This window comes from Homo sapiens, chromosome 6, assembly GCF_000001405.40.
Source record: "Homo sapiens chromosome 6, GRCh38.p14 Primary Assembly".
NCBI lineage: Eukaryota > Metazoa > Chordata > Mammalia > Primates > Hominidae > Homo > Homo sapiens.
The window spans coordinates 162345779-162362913 of NC_000006.12; the positions used below are offsets into that span (position 1 = coordinate 162345779).

The 17135-nt window shown below is 34.6% G+C and overlaps 1 protein-coding gene across 6 annotated transcripts in view; it reads right to left on the reverse strand.

The window, feature by feature from the left end:
• PRKN (parkin RBR E3 ubiquitin protein ligase) overlaps positions 1-17135 on the reverse strand; it is a 1380350-nt gene that overhangs the window by 998362 nt on the left and 364853 nt on the right. The gene's annotated exons all lie outside the window — the stretch shown is intronic.

Genomic DNA, 17135 nt, shown 5'->3' on the forward strand with positions numbered 1-17135 from the left:
TTAGCTATGAATAATGATAGGTTCTTACTTTCCAACCTTGAAACTTGCTATGTTTTGAATGTGTCCCTCAAATTTCATATGTTGGAAACTTAATCCCCAAATTCGTATGTTGATGGTATTTGGAGGTGGGGCCTTTGGGAGGTAATTAAGATTAGATAAGGCCATCAGAGTGGGGCCCTCATAATGAGACTGGTGGCTTTATAAGAAGAGAAAGGAGATCTTAGCTGGCATGCTCTTGCCCTCTGCCATGTTATGACACAGGAGAAAGGTCCTGACCAGATACCATTGCCACGTTCTAGGACATTCCAGCCTTCAGAACTATGAGCCAAATGAACTCTTTTCTTTGTAAATTACCCAGGCTGTGGTATTCTGTTGTAACAACATAAAACAAAGACAATAACTTTTGTTCTTTTACTAGCCATATTCCTTTCAGTGGACTGGTCATAATGAATATAATCGTGTTTTTTCCCAATCTTAAAAATAACCTTTGAGCATTTTTGCCGTATTTTCCACAGTTTTTAAATAGATCTTTTTCTATTAGATTAATGAAAATTTGGCTGGGTTCAGTGGCTCACACCTGTAATCTCAGCACTTTGGGAGGCAAAGGTGGATGAATTGCTTGTGCCCAGGAGTTCGAGACCAGCCTGGGCAACATAGTGAAAAATCTGTCTCTACAAAAAAAAAAAAAAAAAGCTAGCCAGGTGTGATGGTGCATGCCTGTAGTCCCAGCTCCCTGGGAGGCTATGGTGGGAAGATCACAGGAGCCCAGGAGGCCGAGGCTGCAGTGTGCTGCAATTGTGCCACTGTACTCTAGCCTGGGTGACAGAGTGAGACCTTGCCCCCATACCCCCACCCCCAAAAACAAGAAAAAAAAAGTCCTCTATTTCTAGTTTGATACGTTTTTAACCATGACTGCATGAGAAATTTTTTAAAATACTTTTTCAGCATCTACTGAGATCATGTAATTGTTTTAATCTGTCAATATGGTAAATTACATTATTGATTATTTATGTTTACATAACATGACTATTTCATGTTACTCCAGACAGGTATATCTGGAATAAATCCTAGAGGGTTGTGAGATATATATCTATGGATATATACATATATCTATATATGTGTCTATATCTATTTCTAAATTTGCTTTCCTAGTATTTGTAGTCATATCATCCTTTAACAACATTTTAATTTCAGATTTATATTTGTTAAGTGTACTTTTTTATTCCTAATATTATTTGTGTCTTTAGTATTTTTTTCTTGATCAGTCTTGTGAGATGTGTATCTATTTTCTTTGCTTTTTAAAGAGCAAACTATTATATTTATTATATTTATTTTATTTTTTTCTTTGTTGATGTCTGGAATTATTTTTATTATTTTATTTATCCATTTTCTTTAGGTTCTTTCTGTTGTCTTTTTTCTGACATCTTATGTTGGATGCTTAGTTCACTAATTTTCAGCCTCTGTTCCTTTCTGATGAAAAAAAAATAAAGCTCACCAATTTTCCTTGAAGAGCCATTATAGCCACACATGTAAAAGGATCAATTTTTAGTATATAGAATTTTTTTTTTATTTTGTATTTTTCTACATTAATAATACCATCTAATTTCCTTTATGATTTCTTCTTTGATCCATTAGTTACTTAAGAGGTTTTCTTAATTTTCAATATGGGTTGACCTAGTTAAGTTTTCTAACTTCATTTCATTGTATTCAAAGAATACTGGGTATAAGAAATTAATCTTTGGCTTTGATGATTCTTGCTTTATGACTTAAATATGTGTGTTTGAATAAAGAGAATGTATTATTTGTGATGAATATCACATTTATAAATTTGTGTCAGATATAGTACTTATGTATATATATATTTTTATATAGCATTTGTTAATTTTATTGCTTAAATTTTATCTATGGCTCCCTCTTATTTCACTGAGACAAATAGATTTAGAAATCTCCCATTACATTGCTGAAATGATCTATTTCTTCTTTTAAAAAGAGCTTCAAGCTCATTCATATTTTTTTGGTAATTATTTTACTTGAAACAATGGTTTTGAAGATACTGGCTATCAAGCATTGAAAACTAACAATCCCTAAGAGACAGAAACAAATAAGGTGAGTCTTAACATTACTCCAACTTACTGCCTTGAGAGCGTTTCCAGGCTGGGGCCTAAGGCTAAAGTGAGGAGATAAAGCTGAGAGTTGAGGGAGACGATGGCCTCCAAATTTCACAGGACAAAATATTGGTGAGAGGTGCTCAGAGACAGAGTGTCAGAGATCTGCAAAGACTTGTTCAAGTTTATGCATGTGAGAAAACTAAAAAGAACCTACCCAAAAGGATTAGAGATAACAGTGTCAGGGACCCACGAGGGTAAGGAACAGTGCCTCTTATACCCACCAGTGAAACTGAAAACCTTGCTGGTTCACAGAGCATTGAGTAGAATACACAGAGTGGCCGGCCTCTGGTGGGCAACAGTAAGTCCTAGACTGACCCTTATTCCAGTTCTGCCTAACAACCAACAACGTGACCTGGAAGGATAAAACTATTTCCAAGTAACTTAACTCGGTCCCAGAACAACGACCAAAAATATCTGTAGAAGAGAAAAAAACATATCTAATAATCCACAAAGCATAAGTCACAATATCTGATATCCAGATATTGTGGTCAACAGAAACTGACGAGGAATGCAATAAATACCTATATTAGAAAAGAAGATCTCAAATCAATGACATTTTCTATAATATAAAACTAAATAAAGAAGAACAAATTAAATCCAAAGAAAGTAAATCAGAGTCAAAATCAATTATATAAAACAGGGATGGACAAATTTTTTCTGTAAAGTGTCAGACAATAAATATTGTCATCTTTGTAAGTCTCCTATGGTTTTGTTGCATATTCTTATTATTTCTTTTTACAACCCTTTAAAAAAGTAAAAATCATTCTTAGATGCAAGGCCTTACAAAAACAGAGCTAAATTTGGTCTACAGACTGTAATTTACCCAATACTGAAGTAAAAAGCAAAAAAGAAAAAGAGAGAGAGAAAGAGAGACAGAAATTCTAAAAATCAACAGCAAATTAGTTGAGATAGTACAATAGATAAACATGTAGGCAGAGAGAGAAGACATAAATTATAACATCAGCAAAGGCAAAGGTTACATCACTACAGATTGTGCAGATATTAAAAATATAAAGACAGATTATGGACAATTTTATACCAGTAAATTTGACTACTTGGATGAAATGGACAAATTCTTTGAAAGACATAGTCAGTCAATAAAAAAGAGATAATAACCTGAATAGAATTTGTTGAAGAGACTGATTTTGTAAAAACCTTTCAGTGAATTCTAGCAAATATTTAGGGTAAAAATTACATGAATCTACACAAACTTTAGCAGAAAATTAAAAAGGAATGACTGGCCTGGCACGGTGGCTCACGCCTGTAATCCTAGCACTTTGTGAGGCTGAGGTGGGTGGATCACTTGAGGTCAGGAGTTCAAGACCAGCCTGGCCAATATGGTGAAACCATCTCTACTAAAAATACAAAAATTAGCCAGGCGTGTTGGCATGCGCCTGAAATCCCAGCTACATGAGGGGGCAGAGGCAGGAGAATCGCTGGAACCCAGGAAGCAGAGGTTGCAGTGAGCTGAGATCGCGCCACTGCACTCCAACCTGGGCAAGAGAGTGAAATTCTGTCTCAAACAAACAAATAAACAAACAAAAAATGAATGACTACTTTCCAACTCAATGAAGCCACCACTGCCATAATACCAAAACCAGATAAAATATTACATTCCTCAGAAACAGATAAAAAATTAACATTTTTCACAAATGAAATTCAACACTGTATTTTAAAAAGTACATTATGATCAAGTAGAGTACATTCCAATAATGAGAGGTGATGCAAAACGGGAAGAGAAGTAAACTTCCTTGCCCTGATAAAGAGAATCTATGGAGGACCTACAGCTAACTTTATAGTTGACGGTAAAAGACTGAAGGCTTTCCCCTTAAAAGGAGGAACACAGTGAGGATGTCTGCTCTTATCAGTTCTATTCAACATTGTACTGGAGGTTTTAGTCAATGCAATAATTCCAAATTAAGAACTCCAGATAAACAAAAGACATCGAGGCTGGGAAAGAAGAAGAAAAACTGTATTCCTTCAAAGATGGCATAGTTTCTATGTGAAAATCCTATGGGAACTCCTACCAGAAGTACTAAGTGAGTTTAGCCAAGTTGGAAGAGAATAAGCTCAATATACAAAATTAATTGTATTTCTACATACTAGCAACAAACTGTTGGAAATTAAAACGTTAACACTACCATTTACCACATCATTTAAAAAAATATAAAACAGGAAAACATCTGACCAAACAACAGAAAGAAACAGAAGAGACATTGAAAACCCAAAACAAAACACCACTGAGAGGAAATAAAGTAGCCTCAAGTAAATGAAGTATGTTATGTTACAGGTTAGAAGACTCAGTGTTGTCAAAATATCAATACTCTCCAAATTCATCTATAGATTCATTGCAATCCTAATCAAAATCACAACAGGCTTTATTTATTTATTTTAGAAACTGACAAAGTGATTCTAAATTTTATAGAGTAACACAAATGACCTGGAATATCTAAAACAAAGTTAGAGAACACTACTAAATTTTTAGAACTAATCAAGCTACCGTAAAAAAGAGTACGTTATTGGTACAGATACAGACAAATAGATCAATAGAACAGAAGACTCCAGAAACAGACACAAACATGTTGACAACTGATCTTGATAAAGGAGCAGAGGCTATTCAGTGCAGAATGAATAGTCTTTTCAAAATACCATACTGTAGCAATTAGAGATTGATATGCAAAAAATGAACTTTGATTTCTGCTTTACATCATATACAAAATTAACACACAATTGATCATAGTCTTAAATTTAAAACCTAAAACTATATAACTTCTAGAAGAAAACAAAATAATTCCTTTATGACCTTGGGTTAAGAAAACACTTTTTAGCTAAGATCCCCAAAGCATGACCAAAAAAAAGAGCAAAGTTACAAATTAAATGTGTTAAATTTAAGACTTTCTGCTTGTGAAATATACTATTAAAATATAGAAAAGACAAGTCACGAACTTGGATAAAGCATTTGCAAGTTATATATCTGATAAAGAGGACTTATGTCTGTAATGTAGCACATGCAGAACTCAATGGTAAGAAAACAACTCACCATCCTGGGCAACAGAGCGAGACCCTGACTCTATAAAAAATAAAAAAATAATAAAAATCCAAGCAAGGTGGCATGTGCCTGTAGTCCCATCTCTTCAGGAGGCTGAGATGGGAGGATCACTTGAGCCTAAGGAGGTTGAGTCTGCAGTGATCCATGATCCTGCCACTGTACTCCGGCCTGGGCCACAGAGCGAGTCTACGTTTCCAAAAATAAAAATAAAAAATAAAACAACCCAATAAAAAGTGGAAAATGAAGAAAACAACCCAATAAAAAAATGGGCAAAAGATTTGAATGGACACTGCAGCAAAGAAGACATATAGATGGCAAATAAGTACCTGAGAAGATGCCCAGCATTACTTTCTATTAGGAAAATGCAAATTAAGACCACAATGAGATACTACTACACACCTGTCAAATTGAATACCTTTTAATTAAAAGGTAGACCAAACCAAGTGTTGTCAAGAATATAAAACAACTAGAATTCATCTATGTTTCTGGTCTAAATGGAAAATGGTACAACTACTTTGGAGAAGAGATTGCCATTTTCTTTGGGACCAGGACATTTCGCAGGGAAGTATTTGCACAAGAGGCAAAAAAAAGCACATGACTACACAAAGAACTGTATACAAATGTCCAGCTTTACATGTACTCGTCAAAACCTATTTAAACCCAAATGTCAGAACAGATAAACAAACTGTAGTATATATTTATGCAATGAAATAATATTCAGCAATAAAAAGGAAGGCACTTGCAAAATACACTGTAACATAGATGAATCTCAAAATGATTGTAATGGATGAAAGAATCCAGTCAAAATGTATATACCCTGAGGTTTTTGTGTGTGTTTGTGTGTGTGTGTGTATGGGTGTGTGTTTATTAAAATATATGTAACTTTTCTGCTAGAGTTTTTTTCCTGTGGTATAAAAACAAGGTAGTTTTCCTACCACCTTTGAGTAGATAAGTGTACTTAACATTAAATGCCAAAGGTAGACACCAGCAAGCTTTTGAGCCACCCCCTCCGGACACCAGAGTGCTACTTATTCTAACATACCCTACCGGGTCAGATACAAATGAAAGACAGACTGAGCAGGGGACACAGAGCTCAGTAATATTGACAGCGGGGTTCAAAAGGATTTGAGACATGGACTTCACAAACAGCAGCACCGTAGGTCTCCCTGAAGCACTCCCAGTGAATTCCTATGGTTGGCAATATCTGGAAGATCTCTGCACCCAGGTCATCCCACCAGGGGGCCCTGAGAACCAGAACTACTTTTTATCACTGTGCTTCACGTAGTCTATGAAGCAGAAAAGGCAGATTACGGCAGGTTGTCACAAAGAACAAGGTGAGTCAAACCGCAGGACTGCCTTTACTTAAGCATACAACAGAAAAGGCTGTGTGTCAAACTTTCTGAACCATTTATCTTTTATAGACTGCTGAAGACTGTTGAGTTCAGCGTCTCTTAATCCAAAGCGCTGTTTTAGAAAAGATAATCTACGTGGCAAAAAATCTGGTCAGGTCAGTGTGACTGCGCATCCTGGGGCCATCTTGATTATGAAAAACTCTAATATGGGAGGAGAGAGACTTTCAGTAACAATCACTCAGGGGAAAGCAATGGCATCACCCTGAAGGGCATGGATTAACAGATAAATAGTGAAGCAGGTTAAAATCTAACAGTCACATTCCTGTAAAAGATATCTTCATCTCACGTCTAATTATTTTCTTTTCCATTGCTCTTCTCTAATTAGTACTTGCTTAGTAATGGAAGCATCGAGAAAGGACAGAGAGAGTATTATAATTCTAGCAATAGAAAGCTAGACACCTCATTTTCTAGATTTGATTACACATCTTAAAAGTATCCATTTTTCCCCAAATTTACATGGCACCTATAATGGCATAATTTAAACTTTAAGTAGATAAGATGAATAGATGGGGACTGAATGCAGCGTGCTTACTTTAAAACAAAAATGTGGGTTCCTTATTTCCTAATGAGTAAACAGAAATAGAACTTTCCTATAATTTTCAATGCTGTATTTTATTTTGATTATCTTTACTAGTATGTTGAATGAGAAGTTTTTCACACACCAATGTCCACTGCAAATGTTTTTAGAAGTTCTCACTAAGTGGTGGTAGCAGGCCAATGCCACCATGCTCTCAACCTCATCGTGTGGCAGGTTGATTTAGTCAGCTTCCCATATTTTCCAAGTTCTGCTTTTATTTCCATCCCCTTAAGCAATGAAAGTCACACCATTAGAGTTGGCTCTAAGCTACCTAGGGTAAGAGTGGACGGTTAGCAGAAAATACATAAGCAATAACCAAATCTAATTTTTATCTTTCTCTCGAATAGGCAGCACAAAAATTACTGGAACTGCTAAAAAAAAAAAATGAAATTGAGTGCTAAGCATTTCAGCAGCTATTCTTTCACATATATTAAATGCTATTTAGCTATTATATATTATGTACATAAAATAAATGTTAAATGCTAAAATGTTAAATTTTAAAAACTAAGTATACGTATATGAATAAATTTTTAAAAAAATTCATATTCACATATGTATACTTAATTTTTTGAAGAATATTAAAGGTAAGACAATATAGAGACATGAATAATACACAATCTGCAAAAATTAACTATTGGATTAATCAACTATGTAGTTTACCTTGTACATAGTTCCTGGAATTTTTGGAAAGTGGCATGATATAATAGAAAGAGTCCAGACATTAGAATTAGGTAGACTGATATTGAAACCCCACAGCCTACTTGATTTTGAGCATGTATTACTTAAGTTGTAGTGTCCTCATCTGTGAAATTCCATATAAATCTAATGTGGGGATTGACCAATTTTATGTGTCTGTAGTGTCAGTATTTGCTAGCACATATTGGCTAGCAAAGAATGTACAGTTTTTAATATGCAAATCTGCTAGAAGTAGGGACAAACTGCACACTTACAACTTAAGCATGCAATTCTCCATAGCTTTTATGATGATTGCAGTTATATTATTATTTTATCGTTATAAGTTCCACAAGTTTCTTTGACTATCCGAATATAACCAAACTAGTTTCCTTTATCTCTTCATATGAAATGGGTGTATTTGTCTAGAATTTAATTCTGCAGCATATGGAAATTTGCCTCTGCAATGTTATGTATTCCTGTGACATTCTCTGGACCATTCTCAACCGAAGAGGAAGGTATACACACCATTCCTTGATTTTTAAAAACTTAACAATAAAAGAAAACTAAGAGAGTGGTTGTTATCATACCTCGGTATTTAAAATAGCAAGGCAAAAGCATAAATCCTCTGACCATTTACTCACAATTGCTCATGAGGCAGATAGTGGCAACTTTTAAGAAGACAAGATGAGAATAAAATTGCGTCACAAAGCAGTCTCTTGATTACCAATATTAAAATCATTTGTACTTATCAGGAACAATGGGGAGATCAGACCTTCTAACTCTAAATGAGTAATATAACAGATTATAGTCTCTATTTTGGCCAGAATCACAAAATGTACTTTTTAAAGTATACTTTAAAAATATGGATCATATGAAGTATGCATAAAAATAAGATGGCATTTCCACCTCTAATTAGCAGCTGGAAAAGCTAGAGTAAGTGTATGGCAAATCTCTACTATGGCCAATTATATTTCCAATGAAGCAATAAAGCATACATTTATTACATAATTTAACAGATATATATATTTTCAGTTCCTTCCTCCCTTCGTTATACTGAGGAATCTTCCTCTGGACAGTGCTATCCTCAGATGTTTTACTCTTTGTATTATTTGTCTTTACTGTGTCTATCAACCATCAGCAAACCATTAATTGAATAAGTTGACGTATTAGCTTTTATATTTTTGAACTAAGCAAATAAATTACTAGTTTATTTATGCAGTTATCCTTATTTGGAGACTCTTAAAATATCATATGAAAGGTTTTTTTTTAAATGCAAACACAATTTACTTTTCCTCAGTCAATTAAAAAAATAATATTGTTACTCTCACTTAAAAGAATATACATCAACAACAGAAATACTCATTAAATGGAACTATGTCAGGCTCTGTGGGAGATTAGAAATACAAAGCCTATAAGACAGTCTACAGGTTTGAATTTCTCTTTAAAAATATTTATTATATTTTTCTGTTTTCATAGAATTAGAGAATAATATATAGTTTCATGTTATATTGATAATAGAGAAATTGGACTTTATTTACAATTTAATTATAGGTGTTTGAAATTATGTTCTAGGCTAGAGATCTAAAACATAATTATGTTTTAGATCTAGAACATAATTATGTTCTAGGCTAGAGATCTAAAACATAGATCTCACATTATCTATTTAATTAAGAGACTTTTTAAAAGGCAAGATATGAGAACTGGAACTTAAATTTTAACACCATCTGTAATCTATCTATCTATCTATCTATATATATATAACAATTTAGTTTTTCATTTTGTGTAGATATATATACACACACACATATATGATTTCTGGGAGGAGTCAGGAAATACCTCTAAACAATACATACTGTCTCTCTAAAGTCCTTCACCAATTACTTCCCATATTAAGTACTGAAACAAAAACCATTTACCTAACTGCAGCTGTAGTAGCAAGAAGAAAAGCCCATTTCTTCAGCATGAATAAAAGGCAAAAGTAAGCAGGAAAGTGGGTTGGAGATGAAAAAAGAAATTACTCAGGACAAACTGGGTATTTCCTTTTGAACCAAATTAAAAAAAAAAAACATGGTCAATTTTGATGGATTCTAACATTCATCTCAGGGACCCTGAGTGACATAAAGGAAACCAAGTCAGGAACAATGTCTCTGTCTTCGGAAGTCTCCTGTGAAGCAGAATTTGTTTACAAGGTAAAGGATTAATTAGGTTTACCTTAACTGATCTATTTGACAAAAACTCAAATGTAAATTATTAAGAGCAAAGATCAACTCATCAAAAGAAATGAAGATTCTGCATACAAGTGCCCAGCAGATCCATCTATAGGTTGATACAGGGAGTACTTATACAGGAGTCTTGTTGGTCCTCCAGTATACAGGGCTATCTCAGACATTCTGTGTGAGGGCACTGTGGGCACTTTACACCTGCCACATTCAGAGACAAGGCCAAAACCACCAACGTGACCTTTATTATCTCCCTTAAATGTAGATTTCTGTAATTAAATATCTTCTACCCTTGGTCACTACTACTTAGCAGGATTACGCTATTCAATAAATTGACTACGTAATGTAGAAAGCAGAAAATGTTCTTGCAGCTTTAATCTTCTCTAACTGAAAGATGCTAATCTTTCTACTCTGTGGTCCTAAATTGTGCCCCTTGCTGCTTTCATAGCCGTCCCCCCACCCCCATCCCATTTCTTCCAGGGCCATCATTTCCTCTTTCAGGACAAGAAATGACTACAGTGTTCCATGAATATAATACCATGGTTTACACCACGATAAGAGACTGTGTTTCACTATGATTGCTGTAAGGTGGCCACATGGGCCCCAGACTACCATAGTAGACTACAATATTTAAGAAATAATCTAATATATAATACATTTTTTTTTGCTTGGTCAAAACAAAGTTTAAATTAAATATTAAAATCACATAAAGTTATTTTGAGGATATCAACAAACTGATTCTAAAGCTTATATAGAGAAGAAGAAGACCCAGAAAAGCCTACACAACACTGAAGGAGAACAAATATCATTGGTACCACCCGACTTTAATGCTTACTATAATGTCACAGTAATAAAGTGTGATTATTAGTAAAAAAAAAAAAAAAAAAAAAAAGATAAGATAGACAATAAACAAATCAATGGAGATCCCAGAAATAGATCCACACAAATACAGTCAACTGATCTTTGACAAAGAGGCAAAGGCAATAGAATGGAGAAATAATCATCTTTTCAAAAAATGATGCTGGAACAAATAGCCATCCACATGCAAAAAATAGAATAAATCATTACAGTTTACATCCTTAACAAAAATCAACTAAAAATGCGCCATAAACTTCAATATAAAATGCAAAACTATAAAACATGGAGAAGATAACAAATAAGATCATCTAGATGACCTTGGGTTTGCTGGTGATTTTTTACATGTAACACCAAAGGCACAATCCATGAAAGAAATAATTGATAGGCAGGGCTTCATTAAAATTAAAGACTTCTGCTCTGCAAAAGACACTCTCCAGAGAATGAAAAGCCGAGTCACAATCAGAGAGAAAATATTCACAAAATATATATCTGATAAAGGAGTAGTATCCAAGATATACAAAGAAGTCTTGCAACTCAGAAACACATAAGTAAGGGACCCATTTTTAAATGGTCAAAAGAGTTAAGCAGACATCCTACCAAAGGAAAAATAAAGAAATAAATAAATACAGCTGGCAAGTAAGCATATTAAAAGATGCTCACCATCATATGTCATTATGGAATTCAGAAATAAAACAAAATTAGATAGTACTGCCCACCTAGTTGATGGCTAAAATTCAGAACACTGAAAACAGCCAATGTCAGTGAGAATGTGGAGCAAAAAGAACTCTCATTCCTTCCTGGTGGGAATGCAAAACGTTATGACCAGTTTGGAAGATAGTTTGGCAGTTTCTTACAAAACTAAGCAGATTTACCATGCAATCCAGCAATCACACTTTATTCATATCTGGACAATACCTGGAAACAAGATGTCCATTAATGCATCAGCAGGTGAATGAACAAACTCTGGTTTATCCTTACAATAGAATATTATGCAGCAATAAAAAGAATTATTGAGTCACCAATAGATATGAAGGAAATTTAAATACATATTGCTAAGTGAAAGTCTGTCTGTAAAGGCTATATACTTTCTGGCTCTAACTAAAAGATATTTGGAAAAAGCAAAACTATATATAGAAGCAGTGAAAGATCAGTGATTGCCACAGGTTCAGGGGAAGGAGGGAGAGATGAGTACGTGGAGTACAGGGTATGTTTAGGGTAGTGGTGCTCTTCTGCATGACGTTATAACGGTGGATACATGCCATTAGATATTTGTCAAAACCTACAGAATGTACAACACAAAGAATGAAGCTTAATGGAAGCTATGGACTGTAGTTAATAATAACGTATCAATATTGCTTCACCAATTTAACAAATGTAACACACAAATGCAAGATGTGTTAATAACAGAGGAAAGTGTATGTGTGTGTTGGGGGAGAAATAGGGAAAATCTTTGTGCAACTTTTCTGTATGTACAATTTGTCTGTAATCCTAAAATTACAGACAAAAGTTAGTTTATGAATTTTAATAAACAGTTTGGAATATTTTTCGAAATCTTTATTTTTCACTTGCCATACTGAAAGTTACCTGGCATGGTTCTTTTCAGCCTTGTAAGCAATCAAAATATTTCCACAATCTAATTCAATCAAGCTTGGTATTTTACTGTTTGAAAATCTTAGCATTATTTACAGATTTAAGGTATTTCTATTCCTTCTTTTTAAAATAATAATTAAATTGTTTAATGAAAGCATTTCTGACTGTAAACGTTTAAATGCTACAAATTTACATTTCTCTGTTCATAAAAGAACTTATTTTTGGTTTCTTATCTTTAAGACAATGCCACATTCATGATAAAAATATACTTCACCAATTTTGAAATAGTTCTAGTAGATAACTATTAAAGATCATTAAAAACTCTTGAGTGGATGCATTCAGTTCTCTAAATCTAGAGTGCAGCATATCATAAAGTGTCTCCTATCCCTATCTTATCATTTTAGATTTTTTTCTCCAAAGTAGTGCTCACTATCAGAAATCACCTTGTTTAGGCCAGGCAGAGCAGCTCACGCCTGTAATCCCAGCACTTTGGGAGGCCAAGGCGGGTGGATCACTTGAAGTCAGGAGTTGGAGATAAGCCTGGCCAACATGGTGAAACCTCCTATCTACTAAAAATAAAAAAATTAGCTGGGTGTGGTGGCGGCTGCCTGCAATCCCAGATACTGAGGAGACTGAGTCAGGAGAATCATTTGAACCTGGGAGGTGGAGGTTGCAGTGAGCCGAGATTGTGCTACTGCACACCATCCTGGGTGACACAGTGACACACTGTGGCAAAAAAAAAAAAAAAAAAAAATATATATATATATATATGAAATCACTTTCTTCACATATCTGTTTACTTGTTTCCTAAATCATCTCTCCCAATTCCCCAGCCCATCAGCCCCATAGGAACAGATGTACTTGGAAGTGCCACAGCAGAGGAAAACCACCAGGTAAATAAATATTTGGGAGGTGACTGATTGAATAAATTAACTTATCTAGATTTGGTTTGTCAAGGACATTCGGAAAATTAGGTAGAATTTAGCTCCATGAATGTTGAGAAAGTTGAGTTTTGAGAGCCCTAACATGGCCAATTCATTTTACAGAGGTGGAAAATGGGGCTGACAGATGTTAACTCACCTTGTCCAAAGTCTTAGTAATGGAATCAGGAAAAAATTCAATCACTTGACTTTTAACCAATAATCTTTTTTACTACAAGAGTTAATTTGCTAATGAAATCTCCTCAGTATTTTCTCAAAACAGAACAAAACCATGAGTTAAGTATTCCTTTTTCTTTGCTATAACTAAATATACCTTTTAAAATTAAAAAAAAAAAAACATAAACATGGTTATAAGTGATCTTATTTCCTGCATTTGAGGCAGCTAAACCAGTATTTCCCAAAATGTCTTAATACCCACTTCTTGATCTGCTGCAAGGAAAAATATTGTTCAGTGGTCAAATACGTTCAAGAATCATGATTATTATATAGAGAATAGACGTTTGCCTCTTAATGGAATTGGAAAATTCCTACAGTAAAGATACATGTTTAGTTAAGGGTTGGCTAAACTACTTCACTGTGGCATCCTCTCTTCAAAGAACCCATCAATATTCTACAGAACAAATATGCCATACAACACATTTTTATCCGAAAATCTTTTATAATTGGCTTATATTATTGTTTTATTCTTCAAAATGTTTTCTAAACTGTCTCAGTTCTCGTCCCATGTCATACAATATTTTATAATTTTTCAAATTCTCACTTTTATGTTCTCACTTACTAAAATACGGCAAAATATAATTTATATATACATATGTGTGTGTGTGTGGGTGGGTGTGGGTGTGGGTGCGGGTGTGGGTGTGTGGTACCTGGAACACAATAAGTGGAAAAATTTGTTTCCTCTGTCTTATCGCACCCCTTTAAAAATAACACAAACAGAAAGTGTTCTTTCTAATAGTGCAACTTACGGTCCATTTATTTTTTAATATTTGTTATTTAATCCATGGCACTCACTTTTTTGAACTGCAGTAAGGTGTTCTTCAACAATTCCTAATTTTTCTGTGAATCGTTTACTTGGACAATGCCACATTCACATATACATCCCCTAACATTTGCATTTATTCAGTTTCCTTTTAAAATAAGTGCTAAACAAATTAATGGATTTTGAAGGAGAAAGGCTTTCCTTTCAAAAGAATGGTAACCTTTATGTAGTTGTTTTTAGATATTTCCTATAAAACCTGTCTACTCTCGATACAGTCAGACATCTTTTCTTCTTTTTTAAATATTAAAAATAAGCACATAAAATAAGTCATTTGTTCTTTAAAAAACAAACAAAAAAACCAAAAAACAAAAAACCTACAAACACAAAATCATGTAAACCAGAAATCTTTCACAGAGGTCAAGAAGTCAAAAGTAAACACCGACAATGAAACACCGACAATGGTAAGATCCTTGTGAGGCTCTCGCTCCACCTTTCTCATTACTTCTATGTTTCCGTGGCACACCACGGGCCAGTGCTTACTAAGACCTCTGCTTAGCGATGGAGTTAGTGGGTCTGCACCTCTGATTGTGCTGGGCATGAGACATACTGATTAAAAATGGTAAAAGGATAAAGGAACTGGCCTTTGAGAGACAACATGGATGAATGATGAGTTTTTGAATTAAATTTTTGACAGCTTTGATCTTTACTGAAAATTTAAATGAAAAACAAAACAAAGCAAAACAGAGTTCCAGGATTTTAGAAGTGCCTTTTATCTTAAGTGAAATGTTCTCATCAGAAACTTTGGCATCCCATCCAGTGCCTTTGATGCTGGCTGTGAAACAAGACAATCCATCTTCTTAGCTGGGAAGACAGGCCCTTCACCACCCAGGAAACCATAACTTGTAAACATCAGTCAAGTTCAGATGGCTACATTTTTACTTCAGAAGTTCGCTTTGCATTTGGAGTGGCTCATTAGGGGAAAAGAGAGAGAGAGAGAAAGGGTTATGGACCAAAGTGTGTTTCTCAAAAAATTCATATGTTGAACCCCTAACCCCCAATGTGATCGTATTTGGAGGTAGGGCCTTTCGAAGGTGATTAGGGTTAGATGAGGTCACGAGGATGAGGTCACAAGCCAGGATTGGAAAGCTTGATAAGATGAAAAAAAAAGAGTGAGCTTTCTACTCTGTGTGAGAACACAGCAAGAAGGCATCTCTCTGCAGGCCAGGAAGAGAGGCCTCACCAGCAATCACCTTGATCTTGAACGTTCCAGCCTCCAGAACTCAGAGAACTAAACATGTGCGTTTAAGTGCCCAGTCTATGAGACTTTCTTTTATAGTAGCTGGAGCAGACTAATACCGACAGACCAAGAGAGAGAAAATGGAGAGAAATTTTCTGGCTTGTCTTTTAATTATTCTTTATTTATAAAAAAAGCCACATTGATTTTTGCAGCAGTGATGCAAGTGTGCTGTGCATAGGTTTGATGTTCTGCTCAAATTAAGTCTAAGTTTTTCCACTAAAGGAATTATAGTGTTAATATGCCAAGAGTCCTATCTGCTCACGTACTTCCAGTCTCTGTAAATACGTGCAGCCTGATATCAAAGCAAACCTTGAGGCCATTAACTATAACATTCTTGGAGAAACAGCTGAAGACCTACTAAGAAAAAAGTACCAAATAACCAAAGCTGGCAATTACAATTCCACCCCGAAAAGAAGGAAGGCATGCATATGAATTATGAAAAATAGGGACTGTGCAGCTCTCAGATTTTCAACAATGAATTGCTCACATTCTACACCGTGTGTGTTAAATGTTTAAAAGTAAAAGATCCCAAACATTTTGCCAAATATGCAGTGTTCCAAAGGGAAGTATCAAAAGGATACTCATTTATAAAATTATGGTTCAGTAGATAAATTATAAGGCCTCAAAGAACATGCTGTTACTTCTACTTGCCAATTTATAAATTGACTCAAGTCTTCATTTAATTTATGAAAAATCAAATCATCTCAAGAATGTTTTCGTTATTTTTCTCTACCATGTAAAATATATGTTTTGTATGTTTGATAAGTTGTATCCTGTCAATTTTAGAATTTAGCTATTTGGAACATATAAACCACATTTCTACAACTCAAAATAGTATAATGCTTAGTTACCTATCTTTAAAAAAGTAATAGTAATGCACTGAGATATTTGGGGGTGGGAGGTGGCGGACACAAGTTTAACTTTCAAAAATAAGGGCCGTGTAAAATAACTGAAAAATAATCCTATTTGAATTAAAATTGAATAATATTAAAAATAAATTTCTACTGAAAATTACACCTGTTTCTCTATTTTATTTTTCTTCCTTTTAGGATAGCAGAAAATTCTGTTAGATAAATCAGACTAACATGGGAGACATTGTAAATATTAAGAAACAATAGTAGGAAGAGGCGGACTCACATTCATCTTGCTCTTTCTGCTATTCCCTTCCAAAACCAACTGTGAACAAGCACTCAGGGTGGCCAGGGTACGTGAGGAAGCCTCCTCTAGCCCAGAAAAAAACTTTATTTCACAAAAAGTTATCCTTCACAATAAAAAACACTATTCTATAAAAATTGTTTCCCCTGGCCAGGCGCAGTGGCTCACGCCTGTAATCTCAACGCTTTGGGAGGCTGAGGCGGGTGGATCACGAG